This window comes from Homo sapiens, chromosome 14 (genome assembly GCF_000001405.40).
Source record: "Homo sapiens chromosome 14, GRCh38.p14 Primary Assembly".
In the NCBI taxonomy this organism is placed as follows: Eukaryota; Metazoa; Chordata; class Mammalia; order Primates; family Hominidae; genus Homo; species Homo sapiens.
In genome coordinates this window covers 40,797,399-40,812,343 of record NC_000014.9, presented here as the reverse complement: position 1 = coordinate 40,812,343, position 14,945 = coordinate 40,797,399, and the positions used below count along the sequence as shown (strand labels likewise).

Below are 14,945 nucleotides of genomic sequence, written 5' to 3'. Positions count from 1 at the left end.
CAACATGGATGAACCTGGAGGACATTATGTTAAGTTAAATAAGCCAGGCACAAAAGACAAATAATCAGCATCTTTCATTTTAAGCCCCACATCAAACAGTGGCTCTGCTGGCTTTACCAAGTCAATAAAAGATGCCAATTGCTCAACCTAAACATTTTGTAATCATTCTTAAATTCATTCTTCCTACCACGTTCTACACCTCAAATATCATTCAGAAGTTTCCTTTAGCATTACTCATGAAAAGTATCCTGAATCTGATGATGTACCACCATATCATCACTAGGCCACCATCATCTCTGGACTGGATCACTGCCAGAGCCTCCAAACTCCCCTTCAAGTTTCCACTTTCATTCTACTAGAACCTATTTTTCACAATCATTGGAGTAATCCTTTAAAAATTGTGCTGCTATTATTTTCTTTTCAGCTCAAAAGTCTTACAAAGACTTTTATCACAGTGAGAATATTAGCCAAATTTCTTACCTTGATATATATTGTTCCCATGGGCCTCCAATTCTCACTCTTACTACTTTACTCCTTGTTTACTATGCCTAGCCACATGGCTGTCTTACTTTTTCTTGCTATATCCAGCATGTTCCTAGAATTATTTTTAAAATATTTGTTACAACTTGCTCAATCACTGCCCTCAGGTCTTGACACAATTCACATTAGAAAGGTTTTTGCTGAACACCCTCCCTAAAATAGCAAACTATTCTTGTCATTCTTTCTTACATTAAGTAGTTTTGTTTTCTCTGTAGCATTTATAACAATTTTTCTCATAGTTTATATGTGCAAAATTTTCAGGAAAATACACAGTCTTGAAAATTGTGGCAGACTTGTGTGAAAGATGAGTTTTATAGCAATGATAAACTTAGCTTCTAATTTTTCAACTTTAAACATTCATTTTAAAAATAAACCATTTTATTGAATGTATATGTAACAAAAATGTCTTATTAGCCCCAATCCTCTTCCCTACGCTATTTCATATTTATAAAATATAAAAATATATATTTTAGTTATAGTTCATATAGTTCATATATATTAACCCAAACTAATATATGTATACACATGTACGCATATGAGCTTAAACTGAAATAGGTGTCTGAACTAATACAACATCATTCATTTTATTGAGAAATGCCTCTAAACTTCTCTAAATATAAGTTCATTGAAATTTGAAATGCAGATTCAAAAATCAACTGTTCTGCATTATTTAGTTTGGTTTTTAAAAACAAGGTTGTTGTGAAGACTACAATAATGTTTTGGTTGCAATGTGAATGATGCTATTACTACTTATTGAGTACAAGTCTATTTTATTTATTGTGTTGAGTGTTCTCTCCACAGTTCTGAGACCCCATTCCATGTGTGTCACGATAGTAGATGTTTATGAGGATACTTGTATTAAAAAGGGTTACTCATTTCTTTCTTACTTTAGTGCACTTTTAAAAAATATTATTCTCTGTCTTCCTTTTTGGGGATAATAATTTCAGTTTCCAAAAAAGCAAATTAAAATCTCCTCTTAAAAGAATAACATAACTGTAATTTTCACACACCAATGTACATTAAATCAATTAGTATCTTGTATTACAATTTTACCACATAAAATCTTTTAAAACAGATTAATAGATTTATTGAATATCAAAAAACAAATTGGTAGAATAATGAGTTTAAATCCCCTACTCTTGTTTTTTCATATATTTCCTTTAGAGATACTGTTTCCTGTTAGGTTAAAATACTATCACAGCATACCCTAATCCTCACTTAGCATCTGACTCATTCATGTGAGTTATTACATAAAGTTGAAATACATTTTAATTGACATAGCAAGAATAAAGTATAAATGGAATGAAACCATTCTGAATGATCCAAAACTCTTCTGAGATTTGAATCTTTCAACTTGTTATAAAAAGGAAATAAATTGGTTAGCATTAAGCATCATTTTAAAAATATGTATTCCAAAGCCTTCTTTGGAGATTGAGTAATTATATGTCATTGAGTATAATGTGTATTTTTTAGAATTTATAAAACATTTAAGTGTCTTATTAGGAAGATATAAAATACACTGCATGTTAATGTGTAATATCTCAGATTGATGGAATTTAGTAAATTTATTTTTATAAAGAAGTTCAATTTAAATTTCATTTTTTCATTGTTATATTTTATGATCACTGCAACGAGTTACAATATATTTTTACAATAAAAAAATTTCAAACATTTTAAACCAAATAGTAAGAGTTTTTTCATAAAATCATCTGTCACAACAAAAAGTAGAACGTGACCCATGCCAACTTCATATTTTTCAGATAAACTTCAAATAATCAATTCCAAAGACTGGAAAGTTTTTCGTGTAATCAGTTTGCTTTTAAAGGAACTCATCTCTAAAGCTTTTCAATTTAATAAGAGTAAGTCTAGTTGTCTCTTGTCACATTTCATCAGTAATAACAGCATTCAGGTGTTTTGGGCAATGCAGCCAAAATTTCACTTTTACTTCTGACATTCCACCATACCAATTGAGTTAACCTCATATTTGAATCAAAGAAGTATTTGATATGCATGTGTAGTTAATTTACTTCAGTTCATTTAGTTTTGGGTTTGCCAATGACATTTTGTGATAAGTGTTTTAATTGTTCAAAGACAAAGACAAAAATAATGCGGCCAGAGAAAACTGAGAATTTAAATGTAATTAAATAGTCATGATGACACTTAAATCTAGCTCGACATCTTTCCACTAAAAAAATTGGGAGTGAGTGATTGATGTTATGTTTAAAATAAACTATCACAAATATAATTATTGTATATTTGGCACTTTTCAATTAACACAGAACTAATTTGACTAATTATCTTCTAGCTGTGTCCTCACATGGTATTAATAGAAAGGGTGAGGAGTCTCCCTAGAGCCTCTTTTATAAGGGCACTAATCCCATCCCTGAGGGTTCTGCTCTTGTGACCTAATCAACTCCCAAAGGCCCCACCTTCTAATATCATCACCTTGAGCGTTAAGATTTCAACATATGAATTTTGGGGCAACACAAACGTTCAGATCATGGCAATTATTAACCTTATGTTATGAACTCAGAAAATTTAGCAGGAAATAAAAGCCGATGAAAACACTTCAAAACCTAAAGAAACTTTTATATGTAAGATATTACTATATTGTACACATATATGACATTGGTTTTCTCAGGGTAAGAATGTATGGTAAATATTGTTTATAATCTCTTATAACAGTAATTGTAGCCTGTCAAATTGATAGTATAAGGTAGAACATTAAGATTTTCTAAAAAATTATACATGTACTTGGTATAACTTTAACTTAAAAACTAACATACATTTGCAAAGGATAAAGCTGATTTATGGCCAGACTCAAAAAAGCTCAGTCTCTGTCACTGAGGAAGCTAGGATGTCCAGCTTTGACTTTTGGTAAACTTAAGGTCAGTGGGACTCATGATGTGCTGTTTGAAATTTGAAATTCCTCTGGCAACCCTTAGGATCATGTTGTTTATTAACGGTTTTCATCTGGCATGACTGGTTAGATAGGCTGATGTGACTATATGATTAGAAGGACATAAAACCCCTTTGAGAAATCCCTGCTTTAGTTCTCCTGAAGCCAAGATCCCCAGCACAGACTTTGGCTGTTCAATCCAGAAACAAGGTGACGTCTTTATGCAACAAAGAGCCTTGGGGAACTTGCCCCTAGATAGAACAGATTTTGCATATCAAATGATACCATTCACCAAACTTGCACAAGGAAAATCACTAGAGAAGTTGGATTTATATATTTAGCTGCAAATAAATCTATACAACGGGTTCCATAAAAAACTAAAAGTAAATGGCACTTTGAGATTGATTAAAACCTGGTGGAAGAGATATCAAGGGATCCCTGATCTTGAGAATGCCCTTTTCTTCCCTAAGTAACAATATGTACTTACTGGTTCTGGTTTGATCGAAACAGGAAAGCCTTTTTTCTTATCAGGAAGCACACAGCTTTTCATAAAAATTCTTCCCAATCAGCAGGTTAAACCTTGAATGTAAAAGAGTTGTGAGCCTGCAACCACCAAACTTCTCCTGAACTTGCATAACCCTACCCTAGAACGACAGGTCAATTTGCATCCGGGTGACCATTATGGATTCCAGAGTCAGAGAAAGCTTTGCAAAGACAGACTCCATCTGCTCCACTCTTCTGTAAGTGTCTGTGTTCTTGCACTAATCAAAACATACACTGTGCGTGGGTGGGGTCTCTCTTCTCATCCATTTGTAGCACACATGAAAAGCTGCAGTAACATTTGTAATGTTATGCCATATAGCATATTTCTTAAAATTGGCTTATGATATAATAAAGAAACTGTGGAAGGAAATGAGCAGCGTGGAAGAAAGGGATGGGTGAAATTATTTTTCTCGTTACGTTTTATTTTGCTTCCTATAGTTTACATGGGTGCAACACTTTTCCTAGAAGAGAAGTGGGGATGAAATTAGGTCCCATAAAAACAAGCCAAAATTTTCCCAAAGGTAATTGACGTTTAACTATCAGCTTTCTAGGAGATACTGGAGAGTCTTTTTTGTCATTGTTTTGTTTGTTTTTAGACGGAGGCTCGCTCTGTCGCCAGGCTGGGGTGCAGTGGCGTGATCTCGGCTCACTGCAACCTCTGCCTCCCGGGTTCAAGTGATTCTCCTGCCTCAGCCTCCTGAGTAGCTGGGATTACAGGCCCCCGCCACCACGCCCGGCTAATGTTTGAAGTTTTAGTAGAGACGGGGTTTCACCAAGTTGGCCAGGATGGCCTCAGTCTCTTGTCCTCGTGATCCGCCCGCCTTGGCCTCCCAAATTGCTGGGATTACAGGCGTGAGCCACCACACCCGGCCTGGGGACCATCTCAAGGCTCATTCTTTATTTTTGATCTTTTGGAGACAAGGTCTCAGCTGTCACCCAGGCTGGAATGCAGTGGTGCAATTGTGGTTCACTGCAACCTAGACCTCCCCGGCTCAAGTGGCCCTCCCACCGCAGCCTCCCCAGTAGCTGGGACTAGAGGCCTGCACCATCACGGAATTTTTTTTTTTTTTTTTTTTTTTTTTTTGTAGAGATGGGGTTTCTCACGTTGCCCAGGCAAAGGCTCCTTTTTTATCCATCTTGGTATTCACCAGAGACCATATTTGTTCCATGGGCCATATTTGTTGTACTTGCCCCCATCCTACACTCATCAAAATAGGTAGTTGTCTATCTCCCACTCTAAACTTCTATTCACTGCTGAAACACAATTTAAAAACTGTAAGTTTTATAGTCTCTTCAGCTGTTTCACATATGTGTAGGAAAAGTTATTGCCATCAGGTTTCATGTATTATAATTTTAATATAAACAGTCTTAAGATGCAACTGTAGAGAAAGAATAGTGGAAATTATCCAATAAAGCAAGATTGCTATAAAATATACCAAGTACTTTTCAATTAATGTAGCCAAAGCTACATTACTGAGAAAAACTCTAGGAGAAAAAGTAGTTTAATATGATAGTTCCTAGTACCAAAAGCAAAATATTTTTAAAATAAAGAATAAGATTAGAAGCTTTTATTTAATATATCCATATTAATACATAAAATGGAAAAATGCTCTCTGTATCATATACAAAATATAGTAACCAGATTATTAAATCTAATTGAAAACATACTTTTGCTCCATCATGTCTGCCAGAAGCAATATTTCCATGCTGAATATTTTTGTGTTTAAAGAGTCTTTTGGCCTTAGGGAGCTCATTTGTTCTGATTTGTACTGTACTTGTTTGTATTTTTTTATCAAGTGCATTATACAGTTTCTTACACATTTATAAAGAACAATCAAGCAAGTAGTGCATTTAAATAAAAATGATTAGTATAAGTTATTTCTCATGTTCAAAATGTGTCAAGTACATTAACATATAAAATTAAAGACAAATAATTTCTTAAATTTGCATTTCAGTCCATATTTATTGTTGTTTCCTTTGGAAAAAAATCTGCTTTGAATGTAGGGTAAAAATTTAGGCTAGCTTTATTCACTTGATGCTAGTTACTGCTTACATTGGAAATAAAATCCTCCTTCACCGATTTGCTATCCAGAGAGTGGGATATAGGAAAGGCTACTTCTGGGACACTACTCTCAATTTAGTCAGTGGGACATTTAGGGTTTTATTCTATCTTAGTTCCACACACACATACAGATAATTAAAAGCCAGATTATTAATTGTTTTCCCTAGTCTTTTTTTTCTTTTCAACATTCTGAGTACATCTCTATTCAGGGTATTTTTCATTAAGATTATTTAACCATGCCTTTAAGTATAATCATGTGGCAGTCACAATGTCCAGTTCTCTGTTATATCCAAGTTCCACTGACATGTAGAGTTGTGGGAATGACTGGGCACTCAGGATTCATAAAAGTTCATTTTTAATTCAGCACTATAATTTTCTGTATTTAAGTTTCTACCTAATCTCTACAATTTAATTTTACTAGTCTCTTATATTCTAATGAATACTCTATTCCTAGGATTGTTTTCTCTTTTCTGGCAGGTTTTTTTTCTGTTTCTATTTTGTTTTTGTTTGTTTGTTCTTTCTTTTAGCCATTGAATCCGTACTCTTTTTTTCTTACCTATAAGATATTTTGCCCCAGTCCTACTCAATCTCATTTAAAAATATCTTTCTGAAATGAGCCATCTTACCTAAGGCATTTGTTGTTTTGTTAGTTGGATGATACATGCAGACATACCGCTCCAATCTGTTTCTAATTTTAAATGTCCCAAGAAAAAGGTTGTGAATACTAAATAATTGTCTTCTAATGGCAATGCCTGTTTTCTGGAATCATATTGACCTACTTACTTGCTTTAAATTGGGTTTATATACAGCTTCCTCAGATACAGCTTCTGCTTCAAGTATCTTTGACTTCATCTGTGAAGTAAATAAATAAAATAATGACCATTTTCTCAAGGACATATTTTGGTTTGTCAGTAAATAGTAGATTATCATAAGATCACTCTTTCCTGCAGCCATCACATGGCGCTGAACAGCTTGTTACGATAGATAAATGTGGTTTTCCCAGATTAGGCATGTCTCAAAATAGGGCTTTGGAGCCTACTCCACATGCTGTAAACAAAGTATTAGATAGTAAATTTAAATACAAGCAATCATTTCAAAAGCATTGTCTATAGTGTTTTAAATAATTTCAGATTTTTAGAAGAGTTGCATAGATAATACTGAGAATTATGCCCTTCAATTAGTTTCCCTTCATCTTGAAAATCTTACATAACCATGATATATTTATCAGAACAAAAAACTTAACTTTGATGCCATAACTATACTATAGATTTGATTTGATTGCACCAAATGTTCCAAATAATCCTGTTTCTGTTTTATAATACAATCCATGCTATCATGTTGCATTTAATCATACCATATAGATCTTCTGTGATCTGACATTTCTTAGTCTTTCATTGCTCACAATGACTTTGTCGTTTTTGAAGAGTACCGGTTAGGTCTTTTGTAGAATGTCCCTCATTTTGTTTGTCTGATGTTTCTTCATAATACGTAAATGTATTTTTAAAATATAAATTTGTAAATAGATTTTGCTTCCTTACTAATGTATCCATTTGGTTTATACTTTCATATAAATATTCTATATTTGGAGCCACCACAGATGTATATAGCTTGTTCACTGAACAATATTGGAGGGTTTCACATGCTGTATTTACTTGTATGGTCCACAGAATAAAAAAAAATAGTTGTTATTGTGGAAATATGATTTAATTTTGTTACTTATAAACAGAAAAATATCTCACTTGCAAATGCAAATGTTTTAACAAATTACTTTTCTATAGCAATAACATTTGTAATAATAACTTTTGTCAGAACACCTTAGAATATTACTACACCACGTAGCGACCCTCTTGTCCACATGTATCACAGATACCCAAATAAAAACGATAGAAAATTCCATCCCAAAATTCAACATTAATTTTTGCCAAGTTCCTTTACATTTCCAGGGCTTCACTGCAAAAATTTTAAGTACAGTTAGATTACCATTTTGAATCTTTTTCTCTAGCTAGTTCCAATCTCTTTCTTTACAAAACAGATAATGAGGAAATATTTTCCTCATTGTCTCGCTAACTGAAATTGAAAAATCTCAAATCTGTGATAAGGATATATAGAAAGAAATTCTCACATATAATAATTTCATGAAATAATTGCATAAAATAATTTCAGATTTGGGGAAGAATTAAAATAATTCATAGGTTCTCCGGAAACGTGTCAGATACAGAATTTTATGGTAAAATACATGAAAGGAAAAATGCTGTTTATGCTACTTTTCATCTTTTGGACATATGCACTAAAGTATTAAATAGACTGTGAAATAAGTATCAATAACATCTCTCCTATACTTTCTCTTTAATCAATAGAAATTTGCGTAAATAAATTTTAGATGTGTTAGTATTAAAATCATGTGAGCATATAGCGTAATAAAAGGTGTCTAACATCTTCAGTTTTAATATTTTAGCATTAGTGAAATTTAGTAAATCATAATTGACAAATTTACCTAAAAATGATAAAATTAAAGGCTACTTATGTTCAATGTTACATTTATGGGTGAGTGAAACATTATACACATATTTAAAAAGTTAAAAAATTTTAAATGCTTATGTATATTGGCTTTTCAAAGCAAAAAGATACAAATTCTTTCCATTTCCTTTCCTAAGAAATGGAGAATTAAATAAAAAAATTTATTTTTCCTAGCATTCTATAATACACATGAAACAGTGCTACAAAAGAAATTATCTAACATTGTCATCAGTAAAAGAAAACAATATGTTATCCTTTACTCATTACAAGATAATATGAATAATTCACTCAAGATATTATTGATACAATAATACCATTTAGTCTGTTTTCATTTAGTCTGTGATTTATATATGTTCTTCTCATTGTAAAATTTAAATCCTTAATTATTACATAATCACAAACATAACCTTGGAATTTATGATATGCTTTTTTAAAAATAGAATGGTCAAATCATTTTGACAATTTAAAAGTATTCTAAATCCAGAGACCTGATCAAAATCGAAAAGTTCCAAAAATAGACATATTGTGATAAGTGATTTTTACAAAAAGAAAAGATAGCTAGATCTTGCAAGAAATTAGTGTACTCCTGTGCTCAGGCAAGACTGTGAATTAGAACAATTCATTTTTAACTTCATCTTTTCTTTTTATTTGTGTATTTATTGCCACTCTGTCCTGAGTCTAGTGTCCATATGTTTCTATTTCAGAAACTATATCTGTTCAATTTCAATAATTATCTAAAGGTACTTTTTCTTGTCACACATTAAACCCTAAACACTCTGACCTACCCTGGTAGTTTTTCCCAGCTGCTCAAATATTCACTCAGACTGTATTCAGTGTATTTAACAATTACAAAAATCAGATTTTGATGCAAAAAATAATTCACAAATCCTCCTAATAAGGTATTTGTGTTCAAATATGTTAATATTTCTGAAAGATTCTTAAATTAAATGTCATACTGAAATGCCTGTAATCAGGGATATGGTCGTGGGATAATAAAATCCTGTGAAGTCTACCTTAACAGAAGAACCTTAAAAATATGTATCACGTAATCCCAGGACTTTGGGAGGCTGAGATGGATGGATCAACTGAGGTCAGGAGTTCAAATGCAGCCTAGCCAACATGGTGAAACCCTGTCTCTACTAAAAACACAAAAAGTTAGCTGGGCATGGTGGCCTATAAAATTCCAGCTACTCGGGAGCCTGAGGCAGGAGAATTGCTTGAACCCGGGAGGCAGAGGTTGCAGTGAGCCAAGATCGTGCCACCGCACTCCAACCAGGTAACAAGAGTGAAATGCCGTCTCAAAAAGAAAAAAAAATGTATCATATATATTTTTTGTTCAATTTACACATTAAATAAATTATTAAAAATGAACTTTATTCTCTATGCTAGTTTAGTGTCCAGGATTTTCCCACATTGACATTAACTCTATTGGATTTCCCTATTTATGTCATTTACTCACATAATTTCATTCACCTCAGTCAATATAGTAGTTTCTGTTCTATTAATCTTTAAAAATACCAGTGATATGGCTTGGCTCTGTGTCCCCAGCCAAATCTCATCTTGAATTGTACTCCCATAATTCCCACGTGTAGTGGGAGGGACCTGGTGGGAGATAACAGGAATCATGGGGCTGGTTTCCCCCATATTTTTCTCATGGTAGTGAATAAGTCTCGCGAGATCTGATAGTTTTATCAGTGGTTTCTGCTTTTGCATCTTCCTCATTTTCTCTTGCTGCCACCATGTAAGAGGTGCCCTTGACTCCTGCCATGATTCTAAGGGCTCCCCAGCCATGTGGAACTGTAAGTCCAATTAAACCTCTTTTTCTTCCTAGTCTTGAGTATGTCTTTATCAGCAGCATAAAAATGGAATAATATGGTAAATTGATACCAGGAGTGGGGCATTGCTGAAAAGATACAAAAAATGTGGAAGTGACTTCGGAACTGGGTAACAGGCAGAGGTTGGAACAGTTTGGAGGACTCAAAAGAAGACAAGAAAATGTAGGAAAGTTTGGAACCTCTCAAAGTCTTGTTGAATGGCTTTGACAAAAATGCTGACAGTGATATGAACAATAAGGTCTAGGCTGAGGTGGTCTCAGATGGAGATGAGGAACTTGTTGGGAACTGGAGCAAAAGTGACTCTTGTTATGTTTTAGCAAACAGACTGACAGCATTTTGCCCCTGCCCTAGAGATTTGTGGAACTTTGAACTTGAGAGAGATGATTTAGGGTATTTGACAGAAGAAATTTCTAAGCAGCAAAGCATTCAGAATGTGACTTGGGTGCTGTTAAAAGCATTCAGTTTCAAAAGGGAAACAGCATAAAAGTTCAGAAAATTTGCAGCCTAACAATGCAGTAGAAAAGAAAAATCCATTTTCTGAGAAGAAATTCAAGCCAGCTACAGAAATTTGTATAGGTGGCATGGAGTCTAATGTTAATCCCCAAGACCATGGGAAAAATGTCTACAGGGCATGTCAGAGACCTTCATGGCAGCCCCTCCCATCACAGGCCCAGGAGGAAAAAGTAGTTTCATGGGTCAGGCCAAGGATCCCCGTGCTGTATGCAGCCTAGGGACTTGGTGCCTTGTATCCCAGCTGCTCCAGCCACAGCTGAAAGGGGCCAATGTAGAACTCAAGCTGTGGCTTCAGAATGTGGAAGTCCCAAGCCATGGCAGCTTCACCATTGTGTTCAGCCTACAGGTGCACAGAAGTCAAGAATTGAAGTTTGGGAACCTCCACCTAGATTTCAGGAGATGTATGGAAATGCCTGGATGCCCAGGCAAAAATTTGCTGCAGGGGTGGGCGCCCTCATGGAGAACCTCTCCTAGGGCACTGCAGAAGGGAAATGTGGGGTTAGAGCACCCACACAGAGTCCCTACCGGGGCACTGCCTAGTGGAGCTGTGAGGAGATGCCACCATCCTCCAGACCCCGCAATGGTAGATCCACCTACAGCTTGCACCGTGCACCTGGAAAAGCCACAGACACTCAATGCCAGACGGTGAAAGCAACTGGGAGGAAGGCTGTACCCTGCAAAGCCACAGAGGCAGAGCTGCCCAAAACCAGGGGAACCCACATCTTGCATCAGCATGACCTGGGTGTGAGACATGGAGTCTAAGATGATCATTTTGGAGCTTAAAATTTGACCGCCCCACTGGATTTCAGACTCACGTGGGGCCTGTAACCTCTTTGTTTTGGCCAATGTCTCCCATTTGGAACAGCTGTATTTACCCAATACCTGTACCCCCATTGTATCTAGGAAGTAACTACCTTGCTTTTGATTTTACAGGCTCACAGGTGGAAGGGACTTGCCTTGTCTCTGATGAAACTTTGGCCTGTGGACTTTTGGGTTAATGCTGAAATGAGTTAAGACTTTGGGGGACAGTTGGGAAGGCATAATTGGTTTTGAAGTGTGAGGACATGAAACTTGGAGGGTCCAGGGGTGGAATGATATGGTTTGGCTCTGTGTCTCCACCCAAATTTCATCTTGAATTGTACTCCCATAATTCCCATGTGTTGTGGGATGGACCCAGTGGGAGATAATTTGAATCATGTGGGCAGCTTTCCCCATACTGTTCTTATGGTAGTGAATAAGTCTCTCGAGATCTGATGGTTGTATTAGGGGTTTCCGCTTTTGCATCTTTCTCATTTTCTCTTCCTGCCACTGTGTAAGAAGTGCCTTTCACCTCACGCCATGATTATGAGGCCGCCTCAGCCATGTGGAAATGTAAGTCCAATTAAACCTCTTTTTCTTCCCAGTCTCTAGTATGTCTTTATCAGCAGCATGAAAATGAACTAATACAATCAGTTAAAGAGCCAAATCCTGATATTTCGATACTTTATTTCAGAGTGTCTTCTGTTCATACTATGGCTTCAGCTGCTAATATATGAGTTCGTACAGTGTAATTTTTAAATTGAGGATGAAATTTATTTTACTAGGTTTTTCTCTTATAAGAAGAGAAAAGATGTACAAATATCTTTTTACATTTTAATTATTTAGCTAGAAGGAAAAGGAATTAATTATTTAGCTAGAAGGAAAAGTAAAATAATGAAAATAAACCTCTACTTTTTCACTTTTTCTAAAAGTGAAAAAATCTTAATTTAATCAATTAAAATAATATTTTTACAAATAAAATTATAAATAGGTCACTTAGGTGTGAAAATTAATAATAGCATAAAACTCCATGAAAGAGTCCAAAAGAAGAAAAATGTTGAAGTTGTGTTAGATTTTACTTAAAAGATGACATTTGGAAAATAATAGTGATTGTAGATATTATTTTACAAATTGCAAATCATAACAAAAATTTATGTGTGCCTATGTATATCATAATTTAGTTTTATTAAAGTTAAACAGAAATTGAATTAATTTGTATATTTCCAAGTGCATGAACCAGTTGATAGGTACATAATTATAGCTATGGACAATTACTAATTTTACAAAGGATATTGGTAATTTTGAAATTGAAAAATCTTTAAACACCTAGAGATAAAATAATCTGTATTGAAGCAGAGTGACTCTTCCCGAATGTTAAATTTAGTACTCTAACATTATTCTTGCACACACTTCAAAACCCTAAGAATATTCAAACAGGTCATACTTTCCATTTGACAAGTATCATATTATTCAAGTAAGCTAAATATTAACACTACAATTAAAATATACTAAAAAGGATACTATATCCAAGAAAAACATAGAAGAGTTTTTTTCCCCCTTTTCATATTTTTTCTTATTTAAAAAATATTGACTCCAATGGACTCCTTTGGTTAGGACAAAAATAGCCCTTAACTTATATAAAGATGTTTTTTCCTGAGACAGGGTCTGGCTCTGTCACCCAGGCTGAAGTGCATTGGTGCAATCATGGCTCACTACAGTCTTGAGCTCTTACACTCAAGGGATCCTCCTGCCTCAGACTCCTGAATATCAGGGACTACAGGCAGGCACCACCATGCTCACCTAATTTTTCTTTTTAATTTTTTCTAAAGACGAGTTATCACTATGTTGCTGAAGCTGGTGTTGAACTCCTGGACTCATGAAATTCTCATGCCCTGGCCTTCCAAAGTACTTGGATTATAGGTGTGAGCCAATGTGCCCTGCCAGATTTCCTGATACTATTAAATTATGCACATCATGATGAAATTTTAATAATAATCTACTAGAAGGTATTTATTCTGATGATTGCCCTTTTCTTTTTTTTTTTTTTGGGAGAGTCTCACTCTGTTGCCCAGGCTGAAGTGCAGTGGTGTGAACTAACTCACTGCAGCCTCAAACTCCTGGGCTCAAGCAATTCTGTTACCCTATCGCCCCAATTATCTGGGAGTAAATACATGCTCCACCATGCCTGGAAAATTTTTTAGAATTTTTGTAAAGATGAGGTCTCATTATGTTACACAGGCTGGTCTTGAACTGCACCTCAAGTGATGTTCCCACCATGGCCTCTTAAATTACTGAGATTATAGGTATGAGCCACCACACCTGGCAGATTGCCCTTCTTTATAGCCACAAATATGATTAGCAGAAAAATTCCATTACTTATGTCTTCATTTATAAAATGTGTTTTTTTAGAACTGTAATAAGTGTTCAAATTCAAAATGCAACTACTTTGAAGATGGCAGTAATGGAAAGAGGTTTTTTATATCATTGACTTTCTGTCTTCCTATGATCTTCTCTTTCCTTCCCTTTAGAATATTTTTCTTGAAACAGTTGTTTACACTTGCAGTTTCCAATTTTATACTCCTACTTGCTCTTGAACCCACTTTAGTCATTTAACATCCACTAAAACTATTTTTGTCCTTCACTCTGCCTAAAATATTTATTTACATACACATACCTTAAAACTGTTGGTAACAGATAATGTCAAGCACTCAATGATCTCCTTTCAATTCTCTGTCATGTACTGAATACAACTCCTGGACATCAATGGGGTCTTAGATCTTTTCTATCCTGTGACTGTACTCCACTTACCACACATTCCCATTTTCCTTCAATCCACCTTAAATAACACGATTAATTATTTTAGTTATTCCCTTCAATATATGTCTAACTTTCTATCTTTTCTCTAGCTTGCCCTTAGCTGTTTGAAAAAGAAACAAATCCTGTAATATGGTTTGGCTGTGTCCCCACCCAAATATCATCTTTAATTGTAGCACTCCTTATCCCCACATGTCATGGAAGGGACCTGGTGGGAGGTAATTCAATCATGGGGTGGGTTTTTTCCATGCTGTTCTTGTGATAGTGAGTTCTCACAAGATCTGATGGTTTTATAAGGGACTTTCCCCCACTTTGTCCTGCATTTCTCCGTGCTGCCACCATGTGAAGAAGGATATGTTTGCTTGCCCTTCTGCCATGATTGTAAGTTTCTTGAGGCCTACCCAGCCCTGATGAACTGTGAGTC

At 35.0% G+C, this 14,945-nt stretch overlaps 1 long non-coding RNA gene across 4 annotated transcripts in view; it reads right to left on the bottom strand.

Moving 5' to 3' along the window:
- The window catches only part of LOC105370467 (uncharacterized), a 186,853-nt gene that overhangs the window by 73,734 nt on the left and 98,174 nt on the right, over nt 1–14,945 (bottom strand). For 2 of the 4 annotated variants that reach the window (XR_007064132.1, XR_007064130.1), the window contains exons 4-5: nt 6,828–6,896; nt 3,927–4,018 (exon numbers count right to left, since the gene is read on the bottom strand). This is a non-coding gene — a long non-coding RNA (uncharacterized LOC105370467). The remainder of the gene's footprint in view (nt 1–3,926; nt 4,019–6,827; nt 6,897–14,945) is intronic. The other 2 variants (XR_007064131.1, XR_007064133.1) reach the window with 1 other exon arrangement.